The sequence below is a fragment of the Homo sapiens genome, chromosome 5 (assembly GCF_000001405.40).
Source record: "Homo sapiens chromosome 5, GRCh38.p14 Primary Assembly".
Classification (NCBI taxonomy): domain Eukaryota; kingdom Metazoa; phylum Chordata; class Mammalia; order Primates; family Hominidae; genus Homo; species Homo sapiens.
This window is the reverse complement of record NC_000005.10, coordinates 10249910-10266690: the sequence shown is the minus strand read 5'-3', so window position 1 is coordinate 10266690 and position 16781 is coordinate 10249910. Positions and strand designations below refer to the sequence as shown.

At 43.6% G+C, this 16781-nt stretch overlaps 1 protein-coding gene across 5 annotated transcripts, besides 3 other annotated features; it reads right to left on the bottom strand.

Moving 5' to 3' along the window:
* CCT5 (chaperonin containing TCP1 subunit 5) lies at positions 279-16770 on the bottom strand. 5 transcript variants are annotated; one of them, NM_001306153.1, is made up of 11 exons: positions 16646-16770; positions 12486-12546; positions 11853-12017; positions 10538-10736; positions 8388-8580; positions 8156-8305; positions 5780-5899; positions 4946-5131; positions 4073-4210; positions 3377-3557; positions 279-2035 (listed from the first exon to the last, which is right to left on the bottom strand). In NM_001306153.1, exons 1-11 carry the CDS (start codon positions 16685-16687, stop codon positions 1908-1910), a joined length of 1563 nt encoding a protein of 520 aa, NP_001293082.1. In that variant the 5' UTR covers positions 16688-16770; the 3' UTR covers positions 279-1907. The 5 variants fall into 5 exon arrangements, with proteins under 5 accessions (NP_001293082.1, NP_036205.1, NP_001293085.1 ...); NM_012073.5 differs by lacking the exon at positions 16646-16770 and adding an exon at positions 16246-16411 and having other exon boundaries at positions 302-2035; NM_001306156.2 differs by lacking the exon at positions 16646-16770 and adding an exon at positions 15798-16154 and having other exon boundaries at positions 302-2035.
* Positions 15261-15483: a silencer, noted in NCBI's record as "fragment chr5:10251320-10251542 (GRCh37/hg19 assembly coordinates)". NCBI's record gives its function as "represses an EF-1alpha promoter that drives an FKBP-Casp9 reporter gene in an ReSE screen in K562 erythroleukemia cells {active_cell/tissue: K562}" and the evidence as "EXISTENCE:reporter gene assay evidence [ECO:0000049][PMID:32094911]".
* Positions 15814-15953: a silencer, noted in NCBI's record as "silent region_15916". NCBI's record gives its function as "represses an Ori minimal core promoter by ATAC-STARR-seq in GM12878 lymphoblastoid cells {active_cell/tissue: GM12878}" and the evidence as "EXISTENCE:reporter gene assay evidence [ECO:0000049][PMID:35858748]".
* Positions 16024-16093: a silencer, noted in NCBI's record as "silent region_15915". NCBI's record gives its function as "represses an Ori minimal core promoter by ATAC-STARR-seq in GM12878 lymphoblastoid cells {active_cell/tissue: GM12878}" and the evidence as "EXISTENCE:reporter gene assay evidence [ECO:0000049][PMID:35858748]".

Genomic DNA, 16781 nt, shown 5'->3' with positions numbered 1-16781 from the left:
ACGATTTTTATCAGGGACTTGAGCGTCCATGAAATCTGGCACCTACAGGACATCCTGGAACTGCCCCCACATAGAAATTGAGTAGGCTGAAATTAAAAACAGGACATTTAACAAACCTCCAATGAATCTAGCAGGTGTAGAAATCGGGAACCAGCAGTAATACATGGGGACTTACATGGGAATCTAGCCTTTGGGTCAAGCACCCTAAGTTGCTTTTGCTCCACATGGGGAAGGAGAGGGTGTGGCCAAAGTACCAGCAAAATAAAACTTGAGTGATCTGGAACGTGAAAAATAAAAGACATCACGTGGAAGAGGTTTATTACAAATAAATGAAACAAAAATCAAAGGCTTGTGAAACATCTCTAAGTCTTCCTGTTCATTGACCAGTTTCTCAATCACAAAAAACAGGAACGTCTGTGAGGTTCAATTTTGGAAAGGGGGATTGGTTTAGTGGCTCTTCTGATACAACCACAGACCCCTCGGATAAGACTGTGGTCCAAAGAAGGCTGCTGTATGTTCTCTGTAGGCTAGACTCAGTCCTTGTAAATAAACTCAGTTTAAAGCTTTCAATACTCAACTGCATAGTTCCATATAAACATGAAAATTAGGAAGATTGCTATTAGCACACATTCCTAAATCCACAGGAGTTATTTAGCAAAACATCCAATGCATGAATGTAGAGAAAACACAATGACCCAAAAGTTAAGACTGGTGAATCTCCAGGTTCACATGAGACGGTAACCCAAATTCATCACTTAACCAAATTTAGACAAGAGTCACCATTTCCTAATTCTAGGAAATCTGACTAGTTAAGGTGGCATAACTAGTGATAAAGTTCATCATGAGCTTTATCATCACAATGCTAAGAAACATTATTTTAGAAAATCTAGAGAATCATTAACAAGCAAATAACAGAGTAGGGGATGAGCTGGGCCACTCTGGGGTCAGACTGCCTGGGATTGACCTGGCCCTACTACTTGCTGGTGGTGAGATGCTGGCCAATTATGAGTACTCACCTGTAAGATGTGAGCAGTAAGAAAGTGTATCTGCCTCACTGGGTTGTCAGAACAGACAATCCCGGTAGAGTTCTCGGAGCGTCTTGGCCCATCACTGTTAGCTAGTTAATACTTTAGTAAGTACAATTAATTTCAGTCACTCTATCTGAACATGGTAACTGCAAGATTTCTCCCTTATTTCCTGTAATTTACTTTAACCTCCACTTCACTGTGTCCCTCTGATAGGGAAACAAGTGGGTTCTGAACTGCCCTAAGCCTGTGCTGGTGGCCAGCTCTGCACATGCTGGTCCTGATTCTGTGTATGAGCTGTGTTCAGGGTGGGGCCGGGGCCAGAGGAAAGCAAAGGCTCACATGGGTCTCCATCAGCCCTAAACAACACGCCAGGTTAGGCTGTGAGCAACCTAGTAACAGCACTTAAGGCATCCCATAATTCTGTGGTGGACCCTCTACAATCAAATGGCCCACCCATTTAGATAGGAAGAGGATCAAGCCCATATTCCTCTCAATATGAAAGTGCATCTTGAGAGCTCCTGTTTAAGCTGTTAAAATAGTCCCTACAGCTTATTTTGAGAAAAAAAAATCCACCCAAACCCCTTCAATTAAGGCAGCATTTAATTACTGTTACAATAAACGTTTCTTAAACCCGAAGAGAAGATAAAGGTTGTTTAAACAGATTCTTTTAATACAATGAATACAAAAGCAGTTGAGATGGTACCCCCACGATTACACAGCTTTGAACAAGTGAAACTATGGTTACCAAACAGCTATTTTTATTATAGCATCTACAGTGTCTGGAAAAGGATGTAACAATAAATAACTGTAGATGCATCACGAGACATCCATTTACTTAATCACAGAAGTGGATCTTGCTACATAGTTTTCTCAATGTCTTCATTCTTCAGATTCTCCAGGCTTACGAATGTCATCAATCTTCAAAATCATTCTAACCATTTGTGTTGCAAGAGATATCTGTTGCTTTTTGCCAATCAAGGTTTCTATGACATGCTGTTGCTTCATATCTGAAAAATACAAGGACACTGATTATCCTAAAATAGCATACAATAAACTATCAATAACCAACTCTTTCTGATTTAGGGAATCACAGTAAGACTTAAGAAATACAAACTCCTGGAAGCCAAGCAGGAAGCCACTAATTTCAGTTATATTTCATTTTCAGATGAATGTAATTTCATTACTTCCAAGGACACTCTGGAACTCGCACCTGGTAAAGAGAGCTGTTGGGAGGGCACTGTCTTCAATGACTAGCTACAGGGTGACATTTTTCAGGAACATCTTATCCCACAAAGTATCCATACCCTAACTTAGGAAATCTAAAGTAAGTCCATCTGACCACAGCTGAAATGTAAGATATTTCCAAGAAAGATCTAGAAATGCTAATTTTTTTTTTGGAGACAGGTGTCACCCAGGCTGGAATACAACAGTGCGATCTCAGCTCACTGGAACCTCTGCGTCCCGGGTTCAAGCGATTCTCCTGCCTCAGCCTCCCGAGTAGCTGGGATTACAGGTGCCTGCCCTGACCAGGCCTGGCTAATTTTGTATTTTTTGTAGAGATGGTGTTTCACCATGTTGGTCAGGCTGGTGTCAAACTCCTGACCTCAGGTGATCCACCCGGCTTGGCCTCCTAAAGTGCTGGGATTACAGACATGAGTCACTGCGCCCGGCCCTAGAAATGCTAAATTTGAGCACAACCAGGCATTCAAGTTAGAAACATTAAATGTTTGCCTCACAAAGAGTTGCTACTATTGAAACCCTTGGAATTTGAGCATGGAAAGCAGAATGTACCTATACCTTTAAGCAAAAGCTGTCATTCTGTGGATGGATTACAGACATGGCCTGATTTAGTACAGAAATGCCTGAGACCACTGTTTCAACAAGCTACAGCCACCATATCTTTTTGGGAGCCGAGCTACACAAGTGGCTACAGAGGTTATATATTACATTTAGAAAACACTCCACAGTGTGCAGGATTAACCACACAGTGAACTGTGAACTAAAGCCCACTTCAGAGCTGTTATATATATGCTGCCCACTGACAGACATCTGTGTAAAAACAGCAATAAGGCATTACTTCCCAAAAACCAGAGATTAAAACCTAAGTCATCTTTGGTGATAGTACCATATGCACTTTACTGTTATTACAATGAGTCTCATGTTGCTAGGTCTAGTAGTCTAACCAATTCCTACGGCAATCAAACATTCTAAAATTCAGGACTTGAACACCTGAAGTGGGCTTACATATTTAAAAAGACACCATCATCTCACAGCACATACAGTGGATGATTATTCAGTTTAAATCAGACATCCCCCCCCCTCCACGCAGAGGCGTGACAGCTCCTCACCATTTGTCCCCTTGTGCAAACAGTCGATGCCAAGAGCAGGGTTCATCTCCTTCACCTGTCTGGCTCGGACTTCGGTCATAGTCTGGATGGGATTCATGCCACTGTTTTCAGAGAGGGCCATGGGGATGACCTCCAGTGCGTCGGCAAACGCTCTCATGGCATACTGTTCTAAGGTGGGGCACTGGAAAGGTACAGAAGTATGGTGAGTGCACTTGGCGAAACAAAACAACCCAGCGGCACCGTGAAAACACAACTGTATCACATACTTTGAAAAGTCAGCTCACAAAGAATTGTAAGAACAGGCTGTCTTTATTTTTGTATCTATCAGAATATTATAATGTCACCACAGAATACAGGCAGAGGGTATACATACATGTGAGAGATGTCTCAAAATACAGCAGCTCTTATGGCTTTATTTTTAAGTTATAATATTAATTTTGAATTTCAAATAACATTAAAAGACTATAGATTTATTATTTCAAGGACGAACTGGCTGAAAACAGCTGAGAAATGCTAGGTTATGGTAACCAGAATCTGAATACAGGAACGTGGGAATTAACTTAGATTAAAACACCTGTCACCTACACACAGCTCACGATGCTTGTTTTGCATCCAGCACCTCGCTGTTCCGCAGCTTCACAGTCTCCACCATCAGCGAGGCCTGAATCTTTCACTAAGTCTGCACAGATCCCTTACCTTATCCGCCTCTTGGCTAACTGCCAGGGCACAGGATATCTCAGCAGCCCCTCCTCCATACACCACACGATTATCGCGGATGAGGTTCCGGATGACACACAAAGCATCGTGAAGGGATCGTTTCGCCTCCTCAATGATCTAAGGAAAACAGCTTTGCCTGAATTAATGTGATCAAGATCTAGTCAATTTAGAGCCAAGTATCTGGCACCTTTTTAAAGACAGAGAGGCTGTGCTCTAATATTTAGATGGCCTCCACTATCGGATAATATTTATCTTTCTAGCTTTCCTTCCTGCAATGTAGTTAACAAAATTCAAGAGGCAGAGGCGGCCAGTGACTCATTCTAGGATACACGGTCAAGCAAGAGTCAAAAACTGACAAAACTCGCAAAGATTTATCACAATGTGCTAAAAACTCATTCTCAAAGAACAGAGATCGTCAATGGTTATTCACTTGGGTTCCCTTTTTCTACCTAAGGGACAGATGTAAGTCATCCTTGGTAATAATACCATATTGTAATTAAAATGAGTCTTATGTTGCTAGGGCTAGCAGTTTAACCAACCCCTAATGTAACTGTATCAAACATTCTAAAATCCAGGACTTGAATATTTAAACTGTGTTTAAGTATTTAAAAAGATATAAAAATCTCATAGTGTATATTGTATACTCTAAGGGACAGCAGAAAGGCAAATGTGCCTTGTGAAATTAACAATTTAACATGGTCTTCAGTAATTTTACACCATGATACGTCATTGTTTGAGAACCACGATTATTTTTCTTATGGTGACTGTGTCTCTGTTAAATACACACAGGCAAAAAAGCCAGACCATGAAGCAAAATAAGCAACAGTATAGGACAAATAGTTGAATTCTCACCATCTTATTTCCTCCTCTAATAAAAATGGTTACAGCTCTGGAGTTCTTACACTGCTCGATGACCAGCATTTTATCCTTAGTTGTCCCAAATGAGATCTCCTGTACAAGACCAGCAAAGCCCAGCTTCTCGGCTGTGAGCTCTGAGAACCTGGGGACGATCCGCCCTCCTGTTGCGATGGCAATCAGCTAATTGGGGTGGTCAGGGAGAAGGATGAAGACAGTACTGGTGAAGTTAACTTTCAAAACTGGGCCACAAATGAGCAAAACTTGATCTAAGACCAACTTGTTCACTAGAACTGCTGCCCCACTTTGACCGAGACATCTCCAGTTCAACCCAAAGCACCTTGCTAGGTAACAAGGCTCTTGAGCTGGACGTCTTGATTGGGGCTTTGGTGCTGCCCAGATCTATCACCCGGCGCCCGTCCCCTAAGCTCATACCCTCATCTCCCATCTGTGCAGCCCTCCCTCACTCTGGGAACCCAGCCTGCATGTTCCTTGCACTGCGCTGCAGTGAGAACCACCGAGGCACCGTTGCCTGGGACTGCCATTAGTATTTGGATGAGACCAGGTCTTCCAGCCTTAGTAAGTCAACGACAGGGCCAAGTGAGACAACACAGGGAGAGAATTTCAAAATGCCAGGGAACACCAGAAACACACAGCACTGTTATCCAAACAGTAACAAAGATTCCAGCGCTTTCCTCTCTCCCAGCTCACCCTCCCCTCATCTGCCAGCCTTGGTGTGATGCAGTTATTTAAGGCAGGGCTATCAAAACACCCCTCAACACATAAGATGAACCCCTACTTCTCAAAGTCTCTTCACGTGGAACATCCTACCTCAATTTCAGGTCCTCCTACCCAGCGAACCGCAGGCAAGTTGTTCTGAAGAAGTAAGTGATTTGCTTCATCATCAAAGCCCCACTGACAAATTGCTAGGTTAGCACCAGTCTCTTTAATCTGGGAAAAGAACCACCACAATCGTATTAAGAGAAAGTGGGTATTTATTCTTCATTACAATGTTTGAAAAAAGGAGAGGCACAGTTGGGTGTAAGGCAGGTGCACTCAAACACAAAAGCAAAGGAAAGAGAAGGAAGGAAATAGACAAGTGTCCACTTTTCTGTCAGTTCCAAATTCTAAATAGTGAATATTTTATCAATGGGGATCACCTCATTGTTTATGCTTTAAAAACCACAAGCAGTAATTCTGCTGAACCCTATTGTTACAGTGAGGCAAAACCCACAGAAACGTCAACAAAGCTAACACCCTTCCCCAACCATGGGGAAATGGCTAACAGCTCTGTCCTGTCACAAACACCTACAGAGTAGTTTCACCTGAGTATGTTTTAAACAAACAATGTTATGAACCACTTGCAACTTGACTGTCTCACCTGAGTGGACAATCCTCAGTGGATCCATAAACTAATTCGGGCACTCACAGAGGCAACCCTGCTTCCAGTAAGAAGCACCCTCACCCCGACCTGCAAATGGCAAAGTCACTTTTCCCAATTAGGAGGGCAACGATCAGGCTGCCCACCCCACCTCTGGTGCTCACCTGGGACTGCCACACCGTGCCCCACAACTCTGGCTTACCTGTCTCCATCAGGCCTCCCAGGCTACCTGCTACTGCCTGGCTCTCCCTCTCTTCCTTCCCTGACCCTCTGGAACTCAGTCCAGAACAGCAGCCTCCTTATACAATCTCTCCGTCACAACCCCGGAAAACCAACCTGCCCCTGCAACCCTCCTCAGATGGCAGCTGCTTTCCCTCTCACATGCTCAGAACAGGAGAGGGTCCTTCTTGCTCCTCAGTCACCTGCAGTGTTCCTCTTTGGGTCCCTGCCTCTCATTCTTTAACATTTTACTATCTAGCCCCATCGTCATTCCCTTCTCATTCTCAGCAACCTGCGCCTCACCAGCACGATCCAGTAACATCCCTGGCCTCTCAATTTATCTGTGGCCCCCCAGCACAGCTGAGGCACCATTCTCATGAAAACTGTCCCACCGGCCCAGATGATGGCCTTTTATTTATAAGCTCCCGCCAGCATGCTTCAATCCCTGAGGCTGGCTCTTCCTTGTACAAGCCAACAATGTTCCTGGCTCAGGAGCATCCCCATCTGTCCTCAGCCTGGAATGCTCCTCCCCCAGGGGCACTGCTCTCACCCTATGTTGGCCTCTCCTTACAGGTCACCTCTCTGACCAGTGTCTGTAATGGAGCTGTACCCACCTTTCTCTTATCTGTGTCTCAAGAGCACGAGCTTGGCTTCATTCCCTGCTGTACCTTTAGTGCCTACAACAGAGCCTGGTATGTCGTAGGCACCAAGAACCGTATCATCAATGAGTACATTCAACAACTTTCCCAAGAACAGACATGAAAATAGTCTCTAGTTGGTTTGCTATGATAAATAATACCCTAACCAACCCACGTTCCTGTCTTCTTGAGTACTGGTGTTTTCAACTCCCAAGGACGCAGCCCCCAAAGAGGAGTTGCTATGTCAGAGAGAAAGCACACCTACGCTAAGGTATTCATGAACCCAAACTAGACTTAACTGAGCAAAGAACTGGGATTACTATGAGTGCATTCTGGTTTAACTCCAGTTACTCATTAACTCTTGCCTAAAAGGTATAGTCAGAAATCTTAAAGGCAAGGTAAGCTAAGTTAAATTTGTCCAGGACGGCAAATATAATATGTACAATTGAAAGCACGGCTTTAGGTAACAGGGTCACTTCTTTCAGGACCCTGAACACACTACCATTTTTTTTGAGACAGAGTCTTGCTCTGTCGCCCAGGCTGGAGTGTAGTGGTGCAAGCTCAGCTCACTGCAACCTCTGCCTCCTGGGTTCAAGCGATTCTCCTGTCTCAGCCTCCTGAGTAGCTAGGACTATAGGTGCCTGCCACCATGCCTGGCTAATTTTTTGTGTTTTTAGTAGAAATGGCGTTTCACCGTGTTAGTCAGATGGTCTCGATGATCTCACGATCTGCCTGCCTTAGCCTCCCAAAGTGCTGGGATTATAGGCATGGCCACTGCACCTGGCCTGAACACGCTACCATTTTAAGACAAAATTAGAATTCTTCCCTGTTTATGCCTTTCTATGCAATTTGGTTTTTTCCTGTGTATGTTTTAGAACTGAAGAAAGACTACACATATTTACTAACCAAACCTAACTAACTGTACCCTTTGGGAGTTTAAATTCCACTGAGGACTCTGGTAAGACTTACTTGTTGAATCATCTCTTCAAATTTCTCCTTTTCGTATTTCTGAAGGGCTTTATAATCTTCGACAGAGGTCACATCCAGCTTATGCTTTGTTTTTGGTTTGGGTGGTTCAAATGGACATGTGAGAATTGCAATCTTCGCATCTTCCACTTTCTATGGGGGAACATAAAGACATTTTAATTGGTGGAATTAAGAGTTAACCAACAGTGCGAAGCTGTGAGATGCAATGGCTCACTTTTGGCATCTGTGGGTGACTGAAATCCTTGTCCACAATCACGCCCTTAATCAGTTTAGTGTCCTCCAGCCTGCCGCCCACTTTGCCTTCTACTTTGATAAGCTCAAAGTCAACGTCTCTCCGCTCCATATCTGCTACAGTGAGGACGGCATTCACAGCAATCTCAGCCATCTGTCGGTGACAACTGTTGACCCTGAGGAAAACACCACAAAACAAACTTCATTGGTTTCACAATTACTGCAACCAAAGCAGGCCACATAACACAATGTTACTCAAAGATATAAATCAAACGATGTTTTGAGTCTTCTAGAGGGGAATGCCATCTCAACCTGCATTTTCAACAGTCTGGGGCAGATTCTTAACCTGTGATCCATGGGCCCTAAAGGGGACTGTATACTTAGATAGGAAAAAATTACATCTTTATTTTCGCTAACTCTGAAATTTACTATTTCCTTCCATTATGAATGTACTCAAGAAACCACTGTAGTCTGGCATGAATTAAGGTCTTCTTAGAATGCAGCACTTTTACAGAATACTGTTACTATTTTACAAGTTCAGAACAGAATGGGAAAGGTAAGTAATCACTCAGGAAGAGTCACTCTTATCTCAATGAAGTGTAGCACTAACCAGGAACTGAAAGGACTGGACAGGGCATTTAAACTTTCCAAGAATTCACCACAACATCCATTATAGATGGAGGGTGTTACCTTTTTGAAAGCTTTGAAACATGTGAATAGACAGTTCAATAAATTAATTTTTGAGCCAAGAAAAACAACTAGGGAAACCTAGCACTTGAAATAATGTCTGAAATCACAGGTTATCTATAAAAGAGAACCATGAAAGTAAACATGTTGTATCTTAAGTAGATGACTTAATACTTGCAAACAGAACAAGGCCAACTTATAAAGCAACAAGAAAACTGATTTGTACACTTCAAGTAATGATGATGTCCTCCTTTCATGAGAAAATAAGTGTTATACTTGTGACAAGAGGCTACCCCTAGGGTACTCACTCTTGCCTAGGGAGCTAGTCTCTGCTGAGATCTGTGGTTAGAGGAGGACAGCAGGCATTGCTGAAGGCTTCTGCTCTAACATAGGCTTTGCTCAGGGGAAAAGGCAACAGAAGCAGACACTTTTCCTGCATTTTCCCTGACTACTCTGAGTTTAGAAGATCCCTCATTCCTTTTTGCTAAAACCACCACAAGCACACAATTGAAAACATCTCTCACTGATTTAATATAATGTAATAAAGCAGCTTACACTGGATTTTTATGTTATATTACGGCAACAGACCTTAAGTCTTTGGCATTGTACATAATCAGCGCACCCCTTGGCTGAGGTTGCTTAGAGTCTCCTGGGAGAAGAGCTGTGTCTTAGTGCCCATAAGACCTGGCAGTAAGCCTGGCAAACGGACATTACACGAACGCTGAAAACACCAGAGACAAGTCGCTTTCAAGACTCTCTTTACTAAATTATAATTTTGGATCGGCAATTTGCTGAATAAAAAGTGGAACCCACCCCCAATGGCTCCCCAGCAAAGAAATTATAGAAAGAAGTGTTAAGAAAATTCACATATCCTCCAGGTAGGACCCTTTCTAGTTGACTTTTTTTTTTTTTTGAGACAGGGTCTCGCTCTGTTGCTCAAGCTGGAGTGCAGTGGCATGATCATGGCTTGCTGCAGCCTCGACCTCTCACCTCAGCCTCTGGAGTTGCTGAAGTGTGTGCTACCATGCCTGGCTAGTTTTTTGTTTTGTAGCGATGGGGTCCCACTACATTGCCCTGGCTGGTCTTCAATTCCTGAGCTCAAGCAAGCTACTGCTTTGGCCTCCTAAAGTGCTGAGATTACAAGTATGAGCCACTGCATCCAGCCTTAGCTGATTTTTAACACAACCTATTCTGCTAAATTAAAATAACTATATTTTGCAAATATTGTCAAGGGGATTTATACCTGAACTTAGAAATTCAGTTCTCAACTTAAATACAAAATGCATCTGTCTACATCTACATTAAAAACAAAGCAAAACCAAGTAATCAAAACAAATAATCAAATCGATACAAATCCACCAGTGGTCATTTTGTGTTGCCTTTAAGAAATGGCAAACAAACTGCCTCCTCTACAAATGGGTAATCATATCATCTACTGAAACGTACACTTTGGAGCCCAGCGTGGTTTTTGCTGTCTGAATCAGGGGTTCGGTGTCCTTTATGTCAACAAGGACGCTATCGCTGATCTTGTCCAGGTGTTCAATAGCAACACGAGCAGCCTGCTCATAGCCATCGGCTATTCTGATTGGGTGAATGCCTCGGTCTAGCAATTGCTCCGCTTCTTCTAACAAGGCACCAGCCAGGACTGCAAATAAGCCAGCAGACAATCAGTTCAGGCAAACAACAAAACTTCACTTTTAGTATAATCAGCACAAGTTAGATGCTATCATGGAAAGAAGCAGCTTCTAGAATTAAGCTGCAAGTCATCTTAGAGGCAGAAGCCCTCTATTTTTAAAAGAAAGCCTCGTTTTAGTTCTAGCGAAGGTCGAATAGGACATGTGTCCCCTTACAGATGAACATTCAACCCTCAGTGATGTGAAGAACGTAACTAAAGAATATAATGTAAAAAGAACATTTTTCTAAGAGGTAAAAAGCTATTATGTTTCCTGGGCCAGGGTCTACTCAGTGAAATTCAGCCTGGTGATGAGACTAAAACGTGTTTATTATTTATTCCCCCCACCCCCATCCTCCTTTCTCCTCATTTTAGGGTCGCAAAGATGAATTTTGTTTAAATCTACAGCTCTCCAAGCGCACCGAGAACAGTGCTTGGCATACAATAGTATCCAATAAATATTTGTTGAATGAATTCAAATTTCATCTGCAGAAAAGGTAACCTTACTGATATTTTGTCTTCAATCTCCCCAACTTTTTAAAGATTTCAAATCTTCAGAAAAAAAAGGTACAATACTAAAACGAATACCAGTTTACTTATTAACATTTTGCCACATTTTCTCTACATGTACATACTGTTTCTGTTCAACTATTTGAGAATTAGTTACAGAAACCATGACATGTCACTCCTAAGTATTTAGGTATACAGCTGAGAAGAAGGGCATTCTCCTACACATCTGCAATATAATGGTCACAGATCACTCAGGAAACTCAGCATTGCAGTACATGATCCAAAATCAAATTCTTCCACGTTTCCCAAACATCCTTTATAGCTTAAAAGACAAGCAAAATCAGTGTCCAATCAATCATTACACATTTCTCCATGCCTAACAATCCCCAGCCCTCTTTCTGTTCTTTTGTAACACTGTCAGTTTTGAAAGTCCGACATTTGTTTTGTAGCATGTTTTCAACTTGGATTTGTCTGTCTCCTCATGCTCTGATTCAGAGACAACAATCTCAGCAGGCATGTTAGCCCTGTGGTCTTAAATGACGTCTCTTAAATGAGAAAGGATGTTTTGTCTTTTCTTACCAACCACTCCTGTGGTTCCATCTCCAATTTCATCATCCTGAGACTTGGACAGTTCCACCATCAGCTTGGCAATCTGATGATCAACATCCATCATGCTTAAGATGGTGGCCCCATCATTAGTTACAGTCACATCTCCATCCTTATCCACCATCATCTTATCAAGCCCTAAAAAACAACGTTTAGTAGGCTTTGCGCAAAAAACTGGCAACCAATATCACAAACTATAAAACAAGACCTCCTGACCCAGCTCTTATCTGTGCAATTTATTATATACAAATAATGCAACATACACAAAATAGTAGCTGCATGAAGGCATTTTTAGATTGGCTAACATAATTGGCAAAACATTATGGAGCATCATTAAGTATAATGTTAATCTCAAAAGACAACTATGATTTGGAAAATGCTAATGAAATGATGTTACATGCTAAAAAAAAAAAAAAAAAGGTCCGACCTAATATTGCACACGATTATAACCATGTTTAAGAAACCTGAAATACACTAAAAAATTTTGGCTGTGTTAAGGAAGTAAGATGCCTCCCCTCAATACTCCACCTTTCTGTAGAGAGGTTTATATTGACAGTTTTATAATTTAAATCTTTTGCTAAAAAACACGGAATGGTGGACTCTTACCATTTGGTCCAAGTGATGTTCTCATTGTATTTGCTACAGCCTTTGCTGCCATTATATGAGACTAATGAAACAAACAGAAAAAGCAAACACTGTTACATATAATTTCAATGGTTAAAAGCACACATCTGATGACTACAAAAATCACTTATGACTTAGTTTCTATTGTCTAGAAGCTTCTACATTTAAGGGGCAACAGACAGGTTTAAGTATTATAACATTTACGACTCCAGTTTTAATAAGCAATTCTTACGTAAAGAAAGAGAACCAAGTGCTTTGTGTTATCTCACTGAATTTTCAACACATTAATGAGACAGATTCTTTTACCAGCCCATTTACAGCTGAGAAGAGGGACAGTATGACTATGACCTTACAGGCGTTGCAAGACCACTGTGCAACACAGTCCTCCCTGAGCATCCATGGGGAATTGGTTCCAGGAGCCACAGTTCTCCCTGAGCATCCATGGGGAACAGGTTCCAGGAGCCCCCGAGGATACCCAAATTCACAGATGCTCAAGTCCCTTGCATCTAGGCTTGTACATCTGCGGGTTCCCCATCTGCAGACAAGGAGGGGCCTGTACTCATGAGAAACAGTCCAACTGTAAACATACAACACCTTACTGTCACACTATGATTTACTGCAGAATTGTAATCTTTTGAGCTGGATGCAGTACTAGAGCCTGCAACCCCCCCTACTTGGGAGGCTGAGGCAGGAGGATTGCTTGAGGCCAGGAGTTTGAGATCAGCCTGGGAAACATGGCGAGACCCCATTACAAAATAAAAAGAAAAACTGCTCTTGCTTTAAAAATCTTCCTCCACCCACCTGAAATCCCAATAATTATATTTATAGATCAAAGTTACTGACTGGCCTTTTTTTTTTTGAGACAGTCTTGCTGTGTCTCAAAAAGGCTGGAGTGCAGTGGCATGATCTCAGCTCACTGCAACCTCCGCCTCCCGGGTTTAAGCGATCCTCCTGCCTCAGCCCCCCAGTAGCTGGGATTACAGGCACGCGCCATGACGCCCTGCTCATTTTTTTTTGTATTTTCAGTAGAGATAGGGTTTTGCCATGTTGGCCAGGCTGGTCTTTAACTCCTGACCTCAGGTGATCCACCTGCCTTGGCTGCCCAAAGTGCCAGGATTACAGGTTTGAGCAACCACGCCCGGCTGAAACTGGCCCTCTTAAGGAAGGTAAGTAGCTGTCAAAGTGATAATAAAAAAGTTACCTGTTTTTTTTTTCACATTTAGCTACCAAATTGAGTAATAGAATTATTATTATTATTATTTTTAAGGAGAAAGCAAGAGGCAGAAAGAAAAGGATGTAAAGAATTTGGCAAATAGGAGAGATCCCGAAATCCCGAGATCTATTTTGCCCTACTGCTCGGCAACGTGGAAAAAACCTTTTTCTTCCTTCTGCTAGTTCTGTGTGTTTCCAGAGGGAAGAGTATCAAACATCAAGGCATAATACATATTATGGATAAAACAGAATTATGCTGGCTGGCCTGGAAACTTAGCCTGCTCTGTTTTAGGTTACAGGATTTTAGAATATGATTCCTTCCTAAGCCAACTAATGCCTGCACCTTTTTTTTTTTTTTTTTGAGACGGAGTCTCACTCTGTCACCCAGGCTGGAGTGCAGTGGCGTGATCTCGGCTCACCGCAACCTCTGCCTCCCAGGTTCCAGCGATTCTCCTGCCTCAGCCTCCCAAAGTTCTGGGATTACAGGCGTGAGCCACCGCGCCCAGTCAATGCCTGCATTTTTAAGGTGAAATATTATACAGTTAAGTGTTAAACAAGTGAAGAATCTCAACAAAATACATATTACCTTTAAGGCTCTAAATGACCAGAGAGAAAGAACTGTGACCATTACCATTAAAACGTTCACGTCCTGGCCTATACATTTCTTTTACCGTTGCCTTCAATTTCCATATATTTTGGTTCTTCAAGTTAGCTGGACGTTCTATGAGGTCAGGGAGCAAGTGTATATCCCTAAACTGCTGAGCCTCAACACTCACAGGATGCCTACCAACAGCATCCAACTCTTTTAAGAGACTTAAACACCCAGGTTACTGTCCAAATGAGCTCCCACAGCAAAGAATGATCCGACCTCGAATGTCAATATGCCAAACTTGAGAATGCTGCTCTAGACCACTGGCTTTGACTCTGACAGCGGTGGCCCTGACCATGGTAATGCTCTTTAGTAGCAACTGCTCTTCAGAACAATTTCTCAACTGCTCTGGGCCCAAGTCCCCAGTTTTGTAAAATAACCCTGTCTCAGAGTGTGCGACTTCTGGGCACAAATGCATGCAGTTTGAACAAAATGGCTGATGCAAAACAACCTAGTTTTAGTTATGTTGTTACACCAGGTGTGTGTATTGGATGTTATTTTCTCTGCAGGTCCCTGTTAAGTGGAAAATAAAATGGAATACATAATACAATTAGCTTGAAACTTTTTCTTTCTAGAAAGGAAACAAATACTGAGTGCCTACCGTGGATCAACCACTGTGCAGCCCCTCTAAGTCACTCCATTTAATATCACTGTCAAGTCTTCAGCTTGACGGAGGCCTATCACCTCCCCCTGGAAAAGGAGGTTCCGCGAGGTTGTGTAACTAGCACTAAGTCAAACAAAGAGTCCATAGGGGAACTGTATTGTTTCTAACTTTGCGTAAGTAAACCTCCAAGACACTAAGTGAACAGGGACACCTGAGAGACCTAGTGGAATGGTCTATTATGAATTCACTTTATAACAAACCCTGAAGGCCCTCTCGGAGTGTCCCTTCCTCTGCATTTTCTGTCAACGTCTGGTGCTCAGATGTTTCTTACCTGCACCCCTGCCCTGGTTTCTTTAACCCCTCTGGTCTTCCTTATTCCCTTCGGTCTATCTCAAGCTTTGCTGCCTGAAGTGCAGCTCTACTGAAATTCTGCTCAAAACCCCCTCAATGGCTCCCCTTCTTCCCCAAAGATAACGTCGTATTTTCCATGTTGGGCATTCAATAGCTTCCACCTTCGGGAACTATTGTAAGTTAAAGAAGTCAGTGCTCCATTAAAACCGGATGGCTCTTCCATTCTACAACGTGCCATGCGCATTCTTGCCCAAGCCTTTACTTCTACCGTTTCCTCTCCCTAGAATGCTACCTCTCACCCCGATCTAAAGCTGTCCTCCAGCACCACGCTTATGTGCACCCTCTCCGTAGCTGTCCTTCTCACTGCACACCACCTTGTATTACGGTTATGTGCGTCCGTTTTTCACTCTTCGCTATTTTTCCTCAAGGGTGGGCAAAAAAGCACTCAGAAATGAAATACCCTGTTAAGTGACCACACCTTTACGAGTGACAAAGAAAACGGAAGGGCCGTTGCGGGTGGACCAGCGAAAGGTTAAGCAGCAGCGCCTTAACCGACAGGTGACAGAGCATCTCCCCGGCGCCCTCCCACTGGAGCGCAGTCCCACGCGGCCGTCAGGCTGGAGGAGCCGGGCGGGGAGGCGGTCCCGCTTTGCTCCCGCGGGCGACCGGACTGAGCGGCCCCACCCAGCTCCGAAGGGCGCTGGCGGCCCAGCCTGGCTGGCCCCCACATTCCGAGCCCAGGATTAGGCGCCGGCGTCTCCCGAGCTCAGTAAGCGGGCTGAGCGGCCGGAGACCGCAGGGAGACGGAGATTCTCGACCTTTCCGGGGAGCACATGGCAGAGCCGCTCCTCAACTCGCGCAGGCGCAGAGCCACGGCCTCGGCCACCTCCCCTTAGCCCACCGCGAGCAGGTCCCTGTGCCATTACCTTGAGGGCCTCAAGTCCCATAAGACGGGACTTGCGGTCCTGATCCTTGATGATGAGGAAAGGGCGCCCATATTCATCGAAGGCGAGGGTCCCCATGGACGCCATGGTGCAACAACCGGAATTACTTCCCCCCAACCGGCGGAGACCGCTACGGAAGCGAGAATGCACTTCCCTTTCTCGGGAGGGCCCAAAAGCTTGCGCACGCGCAGCACAAGACGCGCGGGACTTATGTTTCTACTGAGACTAATTTCACGCCAGACAGTATCTTCTGGAATCGGCGGCCTTCGGGAACTTCTATTATCCAGGAAGCCGGGGAGGGGGAGGTTTGAAGACACTTAGTGGAAATCTTAGGACACACAAGTCAAGAGCAGATTGAATTTGTCATTTTTTAAAACGTTACCACTGATAGTTTCTCGATAGTGGGTCCCAAGGAGGAATTCATTGACTTAAAGCACTATTTCTTTATTTCTTCGCACTCCGGCTCCGAGAAGATGGTAGGACCCATTTCCGGTTTTTTTTTTTTTTTTTTTTTTTTT